Source organism: Homo sapiens, chromosome 6, assembly GCF_000001405.40.
Source record: "Homo sapiens chromosome 6, GRCh38.p14 Primary Assembly".
NCBI classification, from domain to species: Eukaryota; Metazoa; Chordata; class Mammalia; order Primates; family Hominidae; genus Homo; species Homo sapiens.
In genome coordinates this window covers 10,658,767-10,671,421 of record NC_000006.12, presented here as the reverse complement: position 1 = coordinate 10,671,421, position 12,655 = coordinate 10,658,767, and the positions used below count along the sequence as shown (strand labels likewise).

Below are 12,655 nucleotides of genomic sequence, written 5' to 3'. Positions count from 1 at the left end.
CTAATTGTGTCGTCTTTTGTTTTGGGAAAAAAGTAGTTCTCCCAGGAAGGCACTGGATTCTGTATATAAAAACCAACTTCCAGGGCTTACATGTGATTGACATGAGAGAATATTAACGCAAATAAACTTTACCAGCACATGTGTTCCTGGAAGTGTTACATTAAGTAAGGGCCAGAAGAGCTCACGTGATGATCATGGTAGAACAAGCTGTGCCATAAAACCCTTGGAAATAGGTTTAATATGAGGTGAGCTTGAGCTGAACTGATTGTGGCATTGGCTACTCTGATAGGATTTGCTGCTTTCTCTAACTTCAAACTCTCATGGAGAGAAATTGTATCCACAGACAATGCATGGTTTCTTGCTTGTGTCTTGTCTAGAGAATGTTAGTTAGAACTGGATGTTTGATCTCCATTTCCTGGCCCCATAAGAGAGCTAGATGTGGCAGTAGAGACTCAATTGAACAGAAAGATTCCTAAGCAGGGAAAAAAATTTGCTTGATCCAAACAGCATGTCAACTTTCTAAGATAGAGGAATTAGGCCCTCATAAAAGCCAGCCAATGTGTATATTGACTGTGCTCCTTAAAAAATGTCTTTTTTTTTTTGTCCCGAAGATGATCATTGTGTCCTGTTTTATTGCTTTGCTATGGATGGATACTTTAATGACCCCTGGGACTGATGTGAGTTGACTGCTAGAAGACTGATTGCTTAGAAACAAGTCGATTAGACTGTGGGCAAGGGCAGTCTGACATCTCTTTTGCTCTGAAGGTGCTTGACAGATGCTAATCCTTGCGCTAAACAGGTTCAAAGACCGAATCCTACATGGAGAGCCAGGCGGGCTGCAGCCATTGTAAAGGAGCTTCCTCTGCCCCATGGTTTCTCAGCCTTGGCACTATTGCCATTTGGGGCTGGACACTTCTTTGCTGTGGGAGACTGTCTTGCACGTTGTCCTGACCTCTACTGCTAGATGCCAGTAGCACCCTGCACTCCAGTTGTGACAACCGAAATGTCTCTAGACATTGTCAAATGTCCCCTACAGGCAAAATCCCCACCACCACCACCCAATTGAAAACCACTGGAATAAGGCAATGTTTTCAAACTCTAGGGTGTATCAGAATCTCCTAGAAGACTTTCTGAAACACAGATTCTTGGGCACCATCCTGAGTTTGATTCAATAGGTTTGGGGTGGGACCTGACAATTTTCAGTTCTCTAAAAAGTTTATGGATAACAACACTCTGAAAACCAGTGGCACAGGGATATTCTCAACTAGCTCAACTTAGTTCTACCTAGAACAGAGGGTGAAGTTCTACTTTCACACTCACCTCCTTAATACAAGGTGTGCAAGTCCCTACTTTCCTACAGGGCCCTGGCTTGATCAAGTATCCATCATCCTCCTCTAGCCATATGTTTTGGGGACCAGCACTATATTCAGCTCCAGGGAATGGCTCTTGTAGCATCTGAGCCATGTGTAGTGATCCCATTCCTCTTGCCAGTGATTGATAAGAGACATATGATAAAATTCTGGCTAACGAGATGTGAGGTGATGTTTTATCTCATTTTTAAAAGGAACAAAAAAGAGACAGCTACAGTCTCATACTGAGCATTAGGTTTAGATGTGATGCCTGGTGCTGTGGCAGACATACTGTGACTCTTAGGGGAACAATCTTAGGGTAGTGCTCATGCACCAGGGATGGCAGTGAAGGAAGATGGAAGGAACCTGGATCCATGATAATGGCATTGAAGCTGTTGAATTAGCCAACCCTGGATTCTCTCATCTGGACTTATGTTTAATCCACTCTGAATTTTTGTTATTTGTAGCAAAAGTATCCTGACTCTAGCATGGATAGATACAGATAGCATGTGCAAAGGGCTTGATATCCTTGAACCAAAACGAGGTCTGTCAGAGTGTCTAGAGCTGTGTTGTCTGCTATGGTAGCCACTAGCCACATATGGCTATTGAAATTTTATTTAAGCAAAATTAAAACTTTGCTTTTCCTTTTGTACTAGGTATGTTTCAAGTGTTCAGTAGCCACATGTCAGTAGGGGCTACTATATTGTGTAGCGCTGGTCTTATAGGTAAGGGGAAGAGGAACCTGAGATTAGATTAGGCGGATCTCTCAATTTTTCTTTAAACTCTTTTTCTAATTGTTCCCCTTCCATAAGATTTTAATTTCATAGGTATTATATATGCTCTATCTATACCTGTTCTTTATACGTTGGAAAAAGAAAGATTTACTTTATCCCCTCTCTTCCCCTCCAGAACCAATATTCACCTCCCTGGAGGTTGATATTGTCCCCTGTTGCAGATACATGGCTCGTGTGGTAATCGTGAGTAAGCTCAGGCAGGGATTTTAGGTCACTGTAAAGAATTTGGATTTTATTAAAATTGTATTTAGGAGGCAATGAACTAATTTTAAGGATGGGATTGGCATGGTCAGTTTTGCCTTTAGAAAGTGATTCCAAAGGCAGAGGGGCCAAGATAGCCTATTAGAAGCAGCTGCAGTACTCATGGAGAGGAATGAAAGTGGGGAGTGAATTTAGCACCTTCAACTGAAATATCCAGGTTCTTGCATTGGGGCTGACTAGGCAAACAACTTGACCCGAAGAGAACAAAGAAAAGAAGGGTGGGGTGATGGCCCAACTGGGAACAGCATGGAGCCAAAGGAACCCCTGCCCCTAGCCAAGGAAAGTGGTGAGTGATTGTGCAAGCCCACTCAGGAAACCACAATTCCCCCATGGATCTTTGCAACCTGCAGATCAGGAGATCCCTTTGTGAGCCTGTGCCACCAGGGCCTTGAGTCCGATACACAAAGCTACACGCAGTCTTGGCAGAGCAGCTTCTCAGACACAAAGAGACCCAGGAGTTTTACATTCTCTGACCCTCGGATCCCTGGCAAGGTAGGATATCCATCTGTAAATAATCCTGGGAAGGGGGCTGAATCCAGGGAGCCAAGCAGCGTTGTTCTGTGGGCCCCACATCCATGGCACCTCACAGATTAAGACACACTGGCTTAGAATTCCAGCCAGCCAATGGCAACAGTCTGCCAGAGATGGGACTGAGTTCCTAAGGGGAGCATTGGCTGCCATCTCTGTGGTTTGGTAGACTCAGCTGTTCCAGCCTGTCAGCTTTGGAGAATACAAACAGTCTAGACAAGGAAGGGTTCTCCCTAGTGAAGCACACCTGCTCTACAAAAAGCAGCCAGAGTGCTTCTATAAGTGCGTCCCTGATCCCATTCCTCCTCACTGGGTAATAAGGCCCCCCAATAGGGGTTTCCAGCCATCTCCTACAGGTGCATTTGGGCCGGCAACAGGTCAGTTACCCCCCAGGACAAAGCTTCTATAGGAAGGAGCAGGCTGTCATCTTTGCTGTTTTGCAGTCTTCACTGGTGATACCTCCAGGTATGGGAAAAACTGAGGCAACTAAGGGTCTGGAGTGGACCCCCAGCAAACCGCAGAAGCCCTATGGAAGAATCTCCTGACTGTTAAAACAACATCAACAAAAACCCCACAAAAACCCCATTCAAAGGTCAGCAACTTCAAAGATCAGCGGTAGAAAAACCCACAAAGATGGGAGAGAATCAATGCAAAAATGCTGAAAACTCAAAAAACCAGAGTGCCTCATCTCCTCCAAATGACTACAACACCTCTCCAGCAAGGGCACAGAACTGGGCTGAGACTGAGATGGCTGAATTGACAGAAGTAGGCTTCAGAAGGTGGGTAATATTGAACTTCACTGAGCTAAAGGAGCATGCTGTAACTCAATGCAAAGAAGCTAGGAATCTAAACAATACAGGAGCTGATAACTAGAATAGCCAGTTTAGAGAGGAACATAACCAACCTGATGGAGCTGAGGGTTCAGTTCAACAACAAGAGCTAATTATCCTAAATATATATTCACCCAATACAGGAGCACCTAGATTAATAAAGCAAGTTCTTGGAGACCTACGAAGAGACTTGGACTCCCACACAATAATAGTGGGAGACTTCAACACCCCATTGATAATATTAGATAATTGATACAGAAAATAAAGATATTCAGGACCTGAACTCAGCTCTGGATCAAGTGGACCTGGGAGATAACTACAGAACTCTCCACCCCAAAACAACAGAATTTACATTCTTCTCATCACCACGCAGCACTTACTCTAAAATTGACCACATAATTAGAAGTAAAACACTCCTCAGCAAATGAAAAAGAACTGAAATCATAACAGTCTCTCTGACCATAGTGCTATCAAATTAGAACTCAAGATTAAGAATTTCCACTCAAAACCACACAACTACATGGAAATTGAACAATCTGCTTCTGAACAACTATTGGGTAAATAATGAAATTAAGACAGAAATCAAGAAGTTCTTTGAAACTAAGGAGAACAAAGAGAAAATGTACCAGAATCCCTGGGACACAGCTAAAGCAGTATTAAGAGAGAAATTTATAGCACTAAATGACCACATCAAAAAGCTAGAAACATCTCAAGTTAACAATCTAACATCTCAACTAAAAGAACTAGAGAACCAACAGCAAGCAAACCCCAAAGGTAGCAGAAAACAAGAAATAACCAAGATCAGAGCTGAACTGAAGTAGATAGAAACATGAAAAACCCTTCAAAAATCAACAAATCCAGGGGTTGGTTTTTTGAAAAAATAGACTGTTAGCTGGACTAATAAAGAATAAAAGAAGAATGAAATAAAGTCAGAAATAATAAGGGGGATATCACCACTGACCCCACAGAAATACAATCATCAGAGAATATTATAAATGCCTCTATGCATATATACTAGAAAACCTAGAAGAAATGGATAAATTACTGGACACATACACCCTCCCAAGACCAAACCAGGAAGAAATTGAATCCCTGAATAGAACAATAATTAGTTTTGAAATTGAAGCAGCAATTAATAATAGCCTACCAACCAACCAAAAGCAAAAAAAAAGCCCAGGATCAAATGGATTCACAGCTGAATTCTCCCAGAGGTACAAAGAAGAGCTGGTATCATTTCTACTGAAATTATTTCCAAAAATTGAAAAGGAGGGACAGGGACTCCTCCCTAACTCATTCCATGAGGCTAGCATCCTGATACCAAAACGTGGCAGAGATACAACAAAAAAAGAAAACTTCAGGCCAATATCCTTGATGAACATTGATGCAAATATCCTCAATAAAATACTAGCAAACCAATTCCAGCAGCACATCAAAAAACTTATCCATGACAATCAAATTGGTTTCATCCCTGGGATGCAAGGTTGCTTCAACATACACAAATCAATTAATGTGATTCATCACATAAACAGAACTAAAGATGAAAACCACAGGATTATCTCAATAGATACAAAAAAGGCTTTTGATAAAATTCAACATCCCTTCATGCTAAAAACTCTCAATAAACTAAGTATTGAAGGAACGTACCTCAAAATAAGAAGAGCCATATATGACAAACCCACAGCCAATATAATACTGAATGGGCAAAAGCTGGAAGCATTCCTCTTGAAAACTGGCACAAGACAAGAATACCCTCTCTCACTCCTATTCAACATAATATTGGAAGTTCTGTCCAGGACAATCAGGCAAGAGAAAGAAATAAAGGGTATTCAAATAGGAAAAGAGGAAGTCAAATTATCTTTGTTTGCAGATGACATGATTCTATATCAAGAAAATCCCATCATCTCGGCCCAAAAGTTACTTAAGCTGATGAGCAACTTCAGCAAAGTCTCAGGATACAAAATCAATGTATAAAAATTGCTAGCATTCCTATATACCAACAACATCCAAGCAGAGAGTCAAATCATGAATCAACTCCCATTCACAATTGCTGCAGAAAGGAAAAAATACCTAGGAATACAATTTACAAGGGAAGTGAAGGAGCTTTTCTAGAACTACAAACCACTGCTCAAAGAAATCAGAGAGGGGCTGGGCGCAATGGCTCAGGCTTGTAATCCCAGCACTTTGGAGGCTGAGGTGGGTGGATCACCTGAGGTCAGGAGTTTGAGACCAGCCTGCCCAACACAGCAAAACCCCATCTTTACTAAAAATACAAAAAATTAGGCAGGTGTGGTGGCGGGTGCCTGTAATCCCAGCTACTCGGGAGGCTGAGGCAGGAGAATCACTTGAACCTGGGAGGTGGAGGTTGCAGTGAGCCGAGATCACGCCACTGCACTTCAGCCTGGGTGACAAAAGTGAAACTCTGTCTCAAAAAAAAAAAAAAAGAAATCAGGACACAAACAAATGGAAAAACATTCCATGCTCATGAATAGGAATAATTAATATCATGCAAATGGCCATACTGCCCAAAGTAATTTATAGATTCAATGCTATTTCGCTTAAACTGCCATTGACATTCTTCATAGAATTAGAAAAACTATTTTAAAGTTCATATGGAACCAAAAAAGAGCACGTATAGCCAAGACAATCCTAAGCAAAAAGAACAAAGTTGGAGGCATCATACTACCTGACTTCAAACTATACTGCAAGGCTACACTAACCAAAACAGCATGGCTTGTACAAGAAAAGACACATAGACCAATGGAACAGAATAGACAACTCAGAAATAAGACCACACATCTACAACCATCTGATCTTCAACAAACTTGACAAAAACAAGCAATGGGGAAAGGATTCCCTATTCAATAAAAGGTGCTGGAAGAACTAGCTAGCCACATGCAGAAAATTGAAACTGGTCCCCTTCCTTACGCCGTATACAAAGATTAACTTAGGATGGATTAAATACTTAAACATAAAACCCAAAACTATAAACACCCTAGAAAATCTAGGCAATATCGTTCAGTACATAGGCACAGGCAATGATTTCATAACAAAAATGCCAAAAGCAATTGCAACAAAAGCAAAAACTGACAGATGGGATCTAATTAAACTAAAATGCAAAAGAAACAGCAGAAGAAACTATCGTCAAAATAAACAGACAACCTACAGAATGGGAGAAAAGTTTTGCAATCTATCCATCTCACAAAGGTCTAATATCCAGAGTCTACAAGGAACTTAAACAAATACACACACACACACACACACAAAACCCATAAAAAGTGGGCAAAGGACATGAACAGACACTTCTGAAAAGAAGACATAGACGCGGCCAACAAACATATGCAAAAAAGCTCAACATCACTGATCATTAGAGAAATGCAAATCAAACCCACAACGAGATGCCATCTCACACCAGTCAGAGTGGCTATTATTAGAAAGTCAATAAACAACAGATGCTGGCAAGGTTGTGGAGAAAAAGGAACGCTTTTACACTGTTGGTGGCAGTGTAAATTAGTTCAACCATTGTGGAAGACAGTGTGGTGGTGATTCCTCAAAGACTTAAATTAGCCGGGTGTGGTGGCGGGCGCCTGTAGTCCCAGTACTTGGGAGGCTGAGGCAGGAGAATGGCATGAACCTGGGAGGCGGAGCTTGCAGTGAGCCGAGATCGCACCACTGCACTCCAGACTGGGCGACAGAGCCCATATTCTGTCTCAAAAAAAAAAAAAAAAAAAAGACTTAGAGGCAGAAATACCATTTGACCCAGCAATCCCATTACTGGGTATGTACCTAAAGGAATACAAATCATCCTATTGAAAAGACATATGCACATGTCATTGCAGCACTATTCACAATAGCAAAGACATGGAATTAACCTAAATGCTCATCGATGATAGACTGGATAAAGAAAATGTAGTACATATACACCATGGAATACTCTGCAGCCATAAAAAGGAAGGAGATCATGTCCTTTGCAGGGACATGGATGGGGTTGGAAGCCATTATCCACAGCAAACTAATGCAAGAACAGAAAACCAAATACCACGTGTTCTTGCTTATAAGTGGGAAATGAAAAATGAGAACACATGGGGAACAACACACACACTGGGGCCTGTTGGAGGGGTTGGGGAGTGCATCAGGAAGAATAGCTTAATACCTAGGTGATGGGATGATCTTTGCAGCAAACCACCACGGCACTCATTTAGCTCTGTAACAAACCTGCATATCCTGCATATGTACCCCTGAACTTGAAGGAAAACTCACTCCAGCTGTTCTATGGAACATAGTGTGGAGGGAGATGGGAGGAGAGACAGAGAGCCGTTAGGAAACTACTGCAGCTGTCCTGGCCTAGAGACTGGAGTTTAATTCCAGGGTGGATGTGGTGTATACGGAGAGAGGTGGAGAACTTTAAGGTGCATTTTAGAGATAAAATTATTACTAAAAAGGGGTCCCAGAGTAGACCCCAAGAGAGGGTTCTTGGATCTTAACGCAAGAAAAGAATTTGGGGCAAGCCCATACAGTAAAGTGGAAGCAGGCTTATTAAGAAAGGAACAAAAGAATAGCTACACCATAGACATAAAAATAGCATAGAGATAAGCTATCTTTATGCTTATTTCTTGAATATATGCTCAACAAGGATGGATTATTAATGAGTTTTCCAGAAAAGGGGTAGGGATTTCCTGGAACTAAGGGTTCCTCCTCCTTTTAGACCATATAGGGTAACTTCCTGATGTTGCCATGGCATTTGTAAACTGTCATGGTGCTGGTGGGAGTTTCTTATCATGCTAACGCATTATAATTAGTGCATAATGAGTAATGAGGATGACCAGAGGTCACTTTCTTGCCATATTGGTTTTGGTTGGCTTCTTTAGCACCTCCCGGTTTTTTTTGTTTTTTTGAGACACTGTCTCACTCTTGCCCAAATTGGAGTGCAGTGGTGCAATCTCAGCTCACTGCAACCTCCGCCTCCCAGGTTCAAGCAATTCTCCTTCCTCAGCCTTCCGAGTAGCTGGGACTGCAAATGCGTGCTACCATGCCCGGCTACTTTTTTGTATTTTCAGTAGAGGTAAGGGTTTCACCATGTTGGTCTGGCTGGTCTCAAACTTCTGACCTAAAGTGATCGGCCCACCTCGGCCTCCCAAAGTGCTGGGATCACTAGCAAGCGAGCCACCGCGCCCAACCACCACCTCCTGTTTTATCACCAGTGTTTATGACCCGTATCTTGTGATATCAGTCCTGCGGACCTCCTGTCTTATCCTGTAACTAAGAATGCCTGACCTCCTAGGAATGCAGCCCAGTAGTCTGTCTTGTTTTACCCAGCCCCTATTCAAGATGGAGTCGCTCTGGTTCAAATGACTCTTGACAAAATGTCAGCTTTTTGATTGTGATGAGGGAGATAGGCAGAATCCAGAGTTACCCCTAGGATTTTTTGGCTTGAGTAATAGCATGGTTAGTTGTTCTATTCACTGAAAAGGAAGAAACTGGGATAGCATCATTGTGTGTGGTTAGGTCATGGGTCTGGCAGAATCAAGATGCCTGCCAGACCTTAGGCATAGACTGCTTGAGCTTCCTGAAATATATCTACTCCACAACCATTCTTGATCCCACCGCTGCCAAAAGGGGTAAGGATTCACCCCTTGCTACCTTTTCAGAATGTGGACCATGATGGAGATGCCTGCATTGTTAGACCAACCTAAAGGGAAACTTGTTATATGAATGCTTTGTTTAACCAGAGTCGTCTTAACCAGAATCTTCTCTAATAGCAAGAAATAGGCAAAAGGGAAAACTTCTGGAGAAGTTGAAAAAGGAACAGAATGGGCTTTGCACCTTTATTCTTGAAGCTCAAAGAAACTTTAAAAATGGATTTTAATACTAGACAAAGAACTAGTGGATGCACCAAGATTGTTATATCAGAACTATATGCTGTTCCTATAAAAAGGTTTTTATGTTATCTTATGGGGGAATCTAAACTCCCTTGAGATTGCTGTAACAAGAAAAGGGTTGGGATTTTTTTTTTTTTTTTTTTTGAGATGGAGTCTTATTGTCTCCCAGGCTGGAGTGCAGTGGCATAATCTCGCCTCACTGTAGTCTCTACCTCCCCGGTTCAAATGATTCTCCTGCCAGTCTCCCCACTAGTTAGGATTACAGGAACGTGCTGCCATGCGCCAGGCTAATTTTTGTATATTTGGTAGAGACAGGGTTTTACCATGCTGGCCAAGCTGGTCTTGAACTCCTGGCCTCAAGTAATCCACACACCTTGGCCTCTCAAAGTGCTAGCGTGACCAGAATTAGCGTGTTCTTGGTCTAGACTTCCAAAATGAAGCTATGGAACCTCACAGTGAGTGTTACAGTTCTTAAAGGCAGCGTGTCCACCAGCGTTTCTCCCTACTGATAGCTCAGCTGCGTTCAGTTTTTTTGCTTTTAGTGGGTTCGTGGTCTCTAGCTCAGGACTGAAGCTACAGACCTTTGTGGTGGGCGTCCCAGCTGTTAGGGCGACGCATTATTAGTTGCTCCCAGTGGGTTTACAGTCTCACTGGCTTCATTATTGAAACTGCAAACCTTCGCAGTGAGTGTTATAACTCACAAAGGCAGTGTTGACCCAAACATTGAGCAACAGTAAAATTCATTACAAAGTAAAAACAAACCACCCACACCACATAACACAACCTCACCAAATGGCCACCGCCTGCTCCGGCGGCCTGCTTTTATTCTCTTATCTGGCCCCACCCACATCCTACTGATTGGTCCATTTTACAGAGAGCCAATTGGTCTGTTTTACAGACAACTGATTGGTCCGTTTTGACAGGGTGCTGATTGGTGCGTTTACAAACCTTGAGCTAGACACAAAAGTTCTCTAAGTCCCCACTAGATTAGCTAGACACAGAGCACTGACTGGTGCATTTACAAACCTTGAGCTAGACACAGGGTGCTGAGTGGTGCATTTACAAACCCCGAGCTAGACACAGAGTGCTGATTGGTGCATTCACAATCCCTTAGCTAGGCATAAAGGTTCTCCAAGTCCCCACCAGATCAGCTAGACACAGAGTGCAGATTGGTGCATTTACAAACCTTGAAATAGACACAGGGTGCTGATTGGTGCATTTACAAACCTTGAGCTAGATACAGAGTGCCAATTGCTGTATTCACAATCCCTTAGCTAGACATAAAGATTCTCCAAGTCCCCACCAGATTAGCTAAATACAGAGTGCCCACTGGTGCATCCACAAACCCCGAGCTAGACACAGAGTGCTGATTGGTGTGTTTACCCTCCCTTGACTAGACATAGAGGTTCTCCAAGTCCCCACTAGACTGGGTAGCCCAGCTAGCTTCACCCAGTGGATCCCGCACTGGGGCCGCAGGTGGAGCTGCCTGCCAGTCTCGCTCCCTGCGCCCGCACTCCTCTGCTCTTGGGTCCTCAATGGGACTGGGCGCCTCGGAGCAGAGAGCCACGCTCGTCGGGGAGGCTCGGGCCTTGCAGGAGCCGACAGCGTGGGGCAGGGGAGGCTCACGCATGGCGGGCTGCAGGTCCTGAGCCCTGCCCCGCGGGGAGGCAGCTAAGGCCTGGCGAGAAATCGAGCGCAGCCTCGGTGGGCCGGCACTGCTGGGGGACCCCGTGCACCCTCCACATCTACTGGCCTGGGGGCTAAGCCCCTCACTGCCCAAGGCCGGCGGGGTCGCCCGGCCGCTCCGAGTGCGGGGCCAGCCAAGCCCACGCCCACCCGGAACTCTAGCTGGCCGGCAAGCGCCGCGCGCAGCTCCAGTTCCTTTCCGTGCCTCTCCCTCCACACCTCCCAGCAGGCTGAGGGAGCCGGCTCCGGCCTCAACCAGCCCAGAGAGGGGCCCCGACAGCGCAGAGGCGGGCTGAAGGGCTCCCTGAGCATGGCCAGAGCGGACGCCGAGGCCGAGGAGGCACCAAGAGCAAGCGAGGGCTGCCAGCAGCTGTCACCTCTCTCTGGGATTACAGGCATGAGCCACCTCCCCCTCTCCCCGTCTCCCCCTCTTCCCCTCTCTCTTCCTCTCCCCCTCTCTCCCTCTCTCCCTCTCCTCTCCCCCTCCTCACCTTCTCCCCTCTCTTTCTCTTTTTCTTCTGCAGTCTAGCTCTGTCGCCTAGGCTGGAGTGCAGTGGTGCGATCTTTGCTTACTGCAAGCTCCGCCTCCCAGATTCAAGCAATTCTCCTGCCTCAGCCTGCGGAGTAGCTGGGATTACAGGCTCCTACCACCACGTCCGGCTACTTTTTTTGTATTTTTAGTAGACACGGGGTTTCACCGTGTTCGCCAGGATGGTCTCGATTTCCTGACCCCGTGATCCGCCCACTTCGGCCTCCCGAAGTGCTGGGATTACAGGCATTAGCCACCTCGCCCGGCCCCTCCTTCCCTTCTTATGATAGATGGTAACATTATCATAGTGAACACCTCCAATATCATGGTGAACAGGTGAATCGCCTCCAAGTAGCTATGTCCTGAGGAGACCCCTCTTGCATCACTGCTGGCCTTGACTGCGTGACTCGCTTTAGCCAATGAGCCATCGGCAAATAGGTTGCAAGCAGAGGCTTGGTAAGCCCTTTCTTACACGTGGCGCCTGCTCTCTTGGAACATTGGTGTGAGGAAGCCCACTCAAGCCTAGAGGATGAGAGGCCTTGTGGAGAACTGACAGGCCCCAGTAGACAGCCAGTGCCAACTGACAGACTGTCACGAGGCCATCTTGTGACCACAGGAGACCAGAATATGCCACCCCAAAATATGCCTCCTTGGCATAAGGATTGAGTGAGAAACAGGAGACACAGGACAAGCTCTGAAAACAGAGTAGAAGTTACCCCCCCCCCCTTTTTTTTTTTTTTTGAGATGGAGTCTTGCTCTGTCACCCGGGCTGGAGTGCAGTGGCGCAATCTCAGCTCACTGC

General features: G+C 44.8%; 1 annotated feature.

Annotated features, from left to right (window-relative positions):
- Positions 9,155 to 9,355: a silencer, noted in NCBI's record as "peak5653 fragment used in MPRA reporter construct". NCBI's record gives its function as "represses an SCP1 promoter by STARR-seq MPRAs in K562 erythroleukemia cells {active_cell/tissue: K562}" and the evidence as "EXISTENCE:reporter gene assay evidence [ECO:0000049][PMID:32103011]".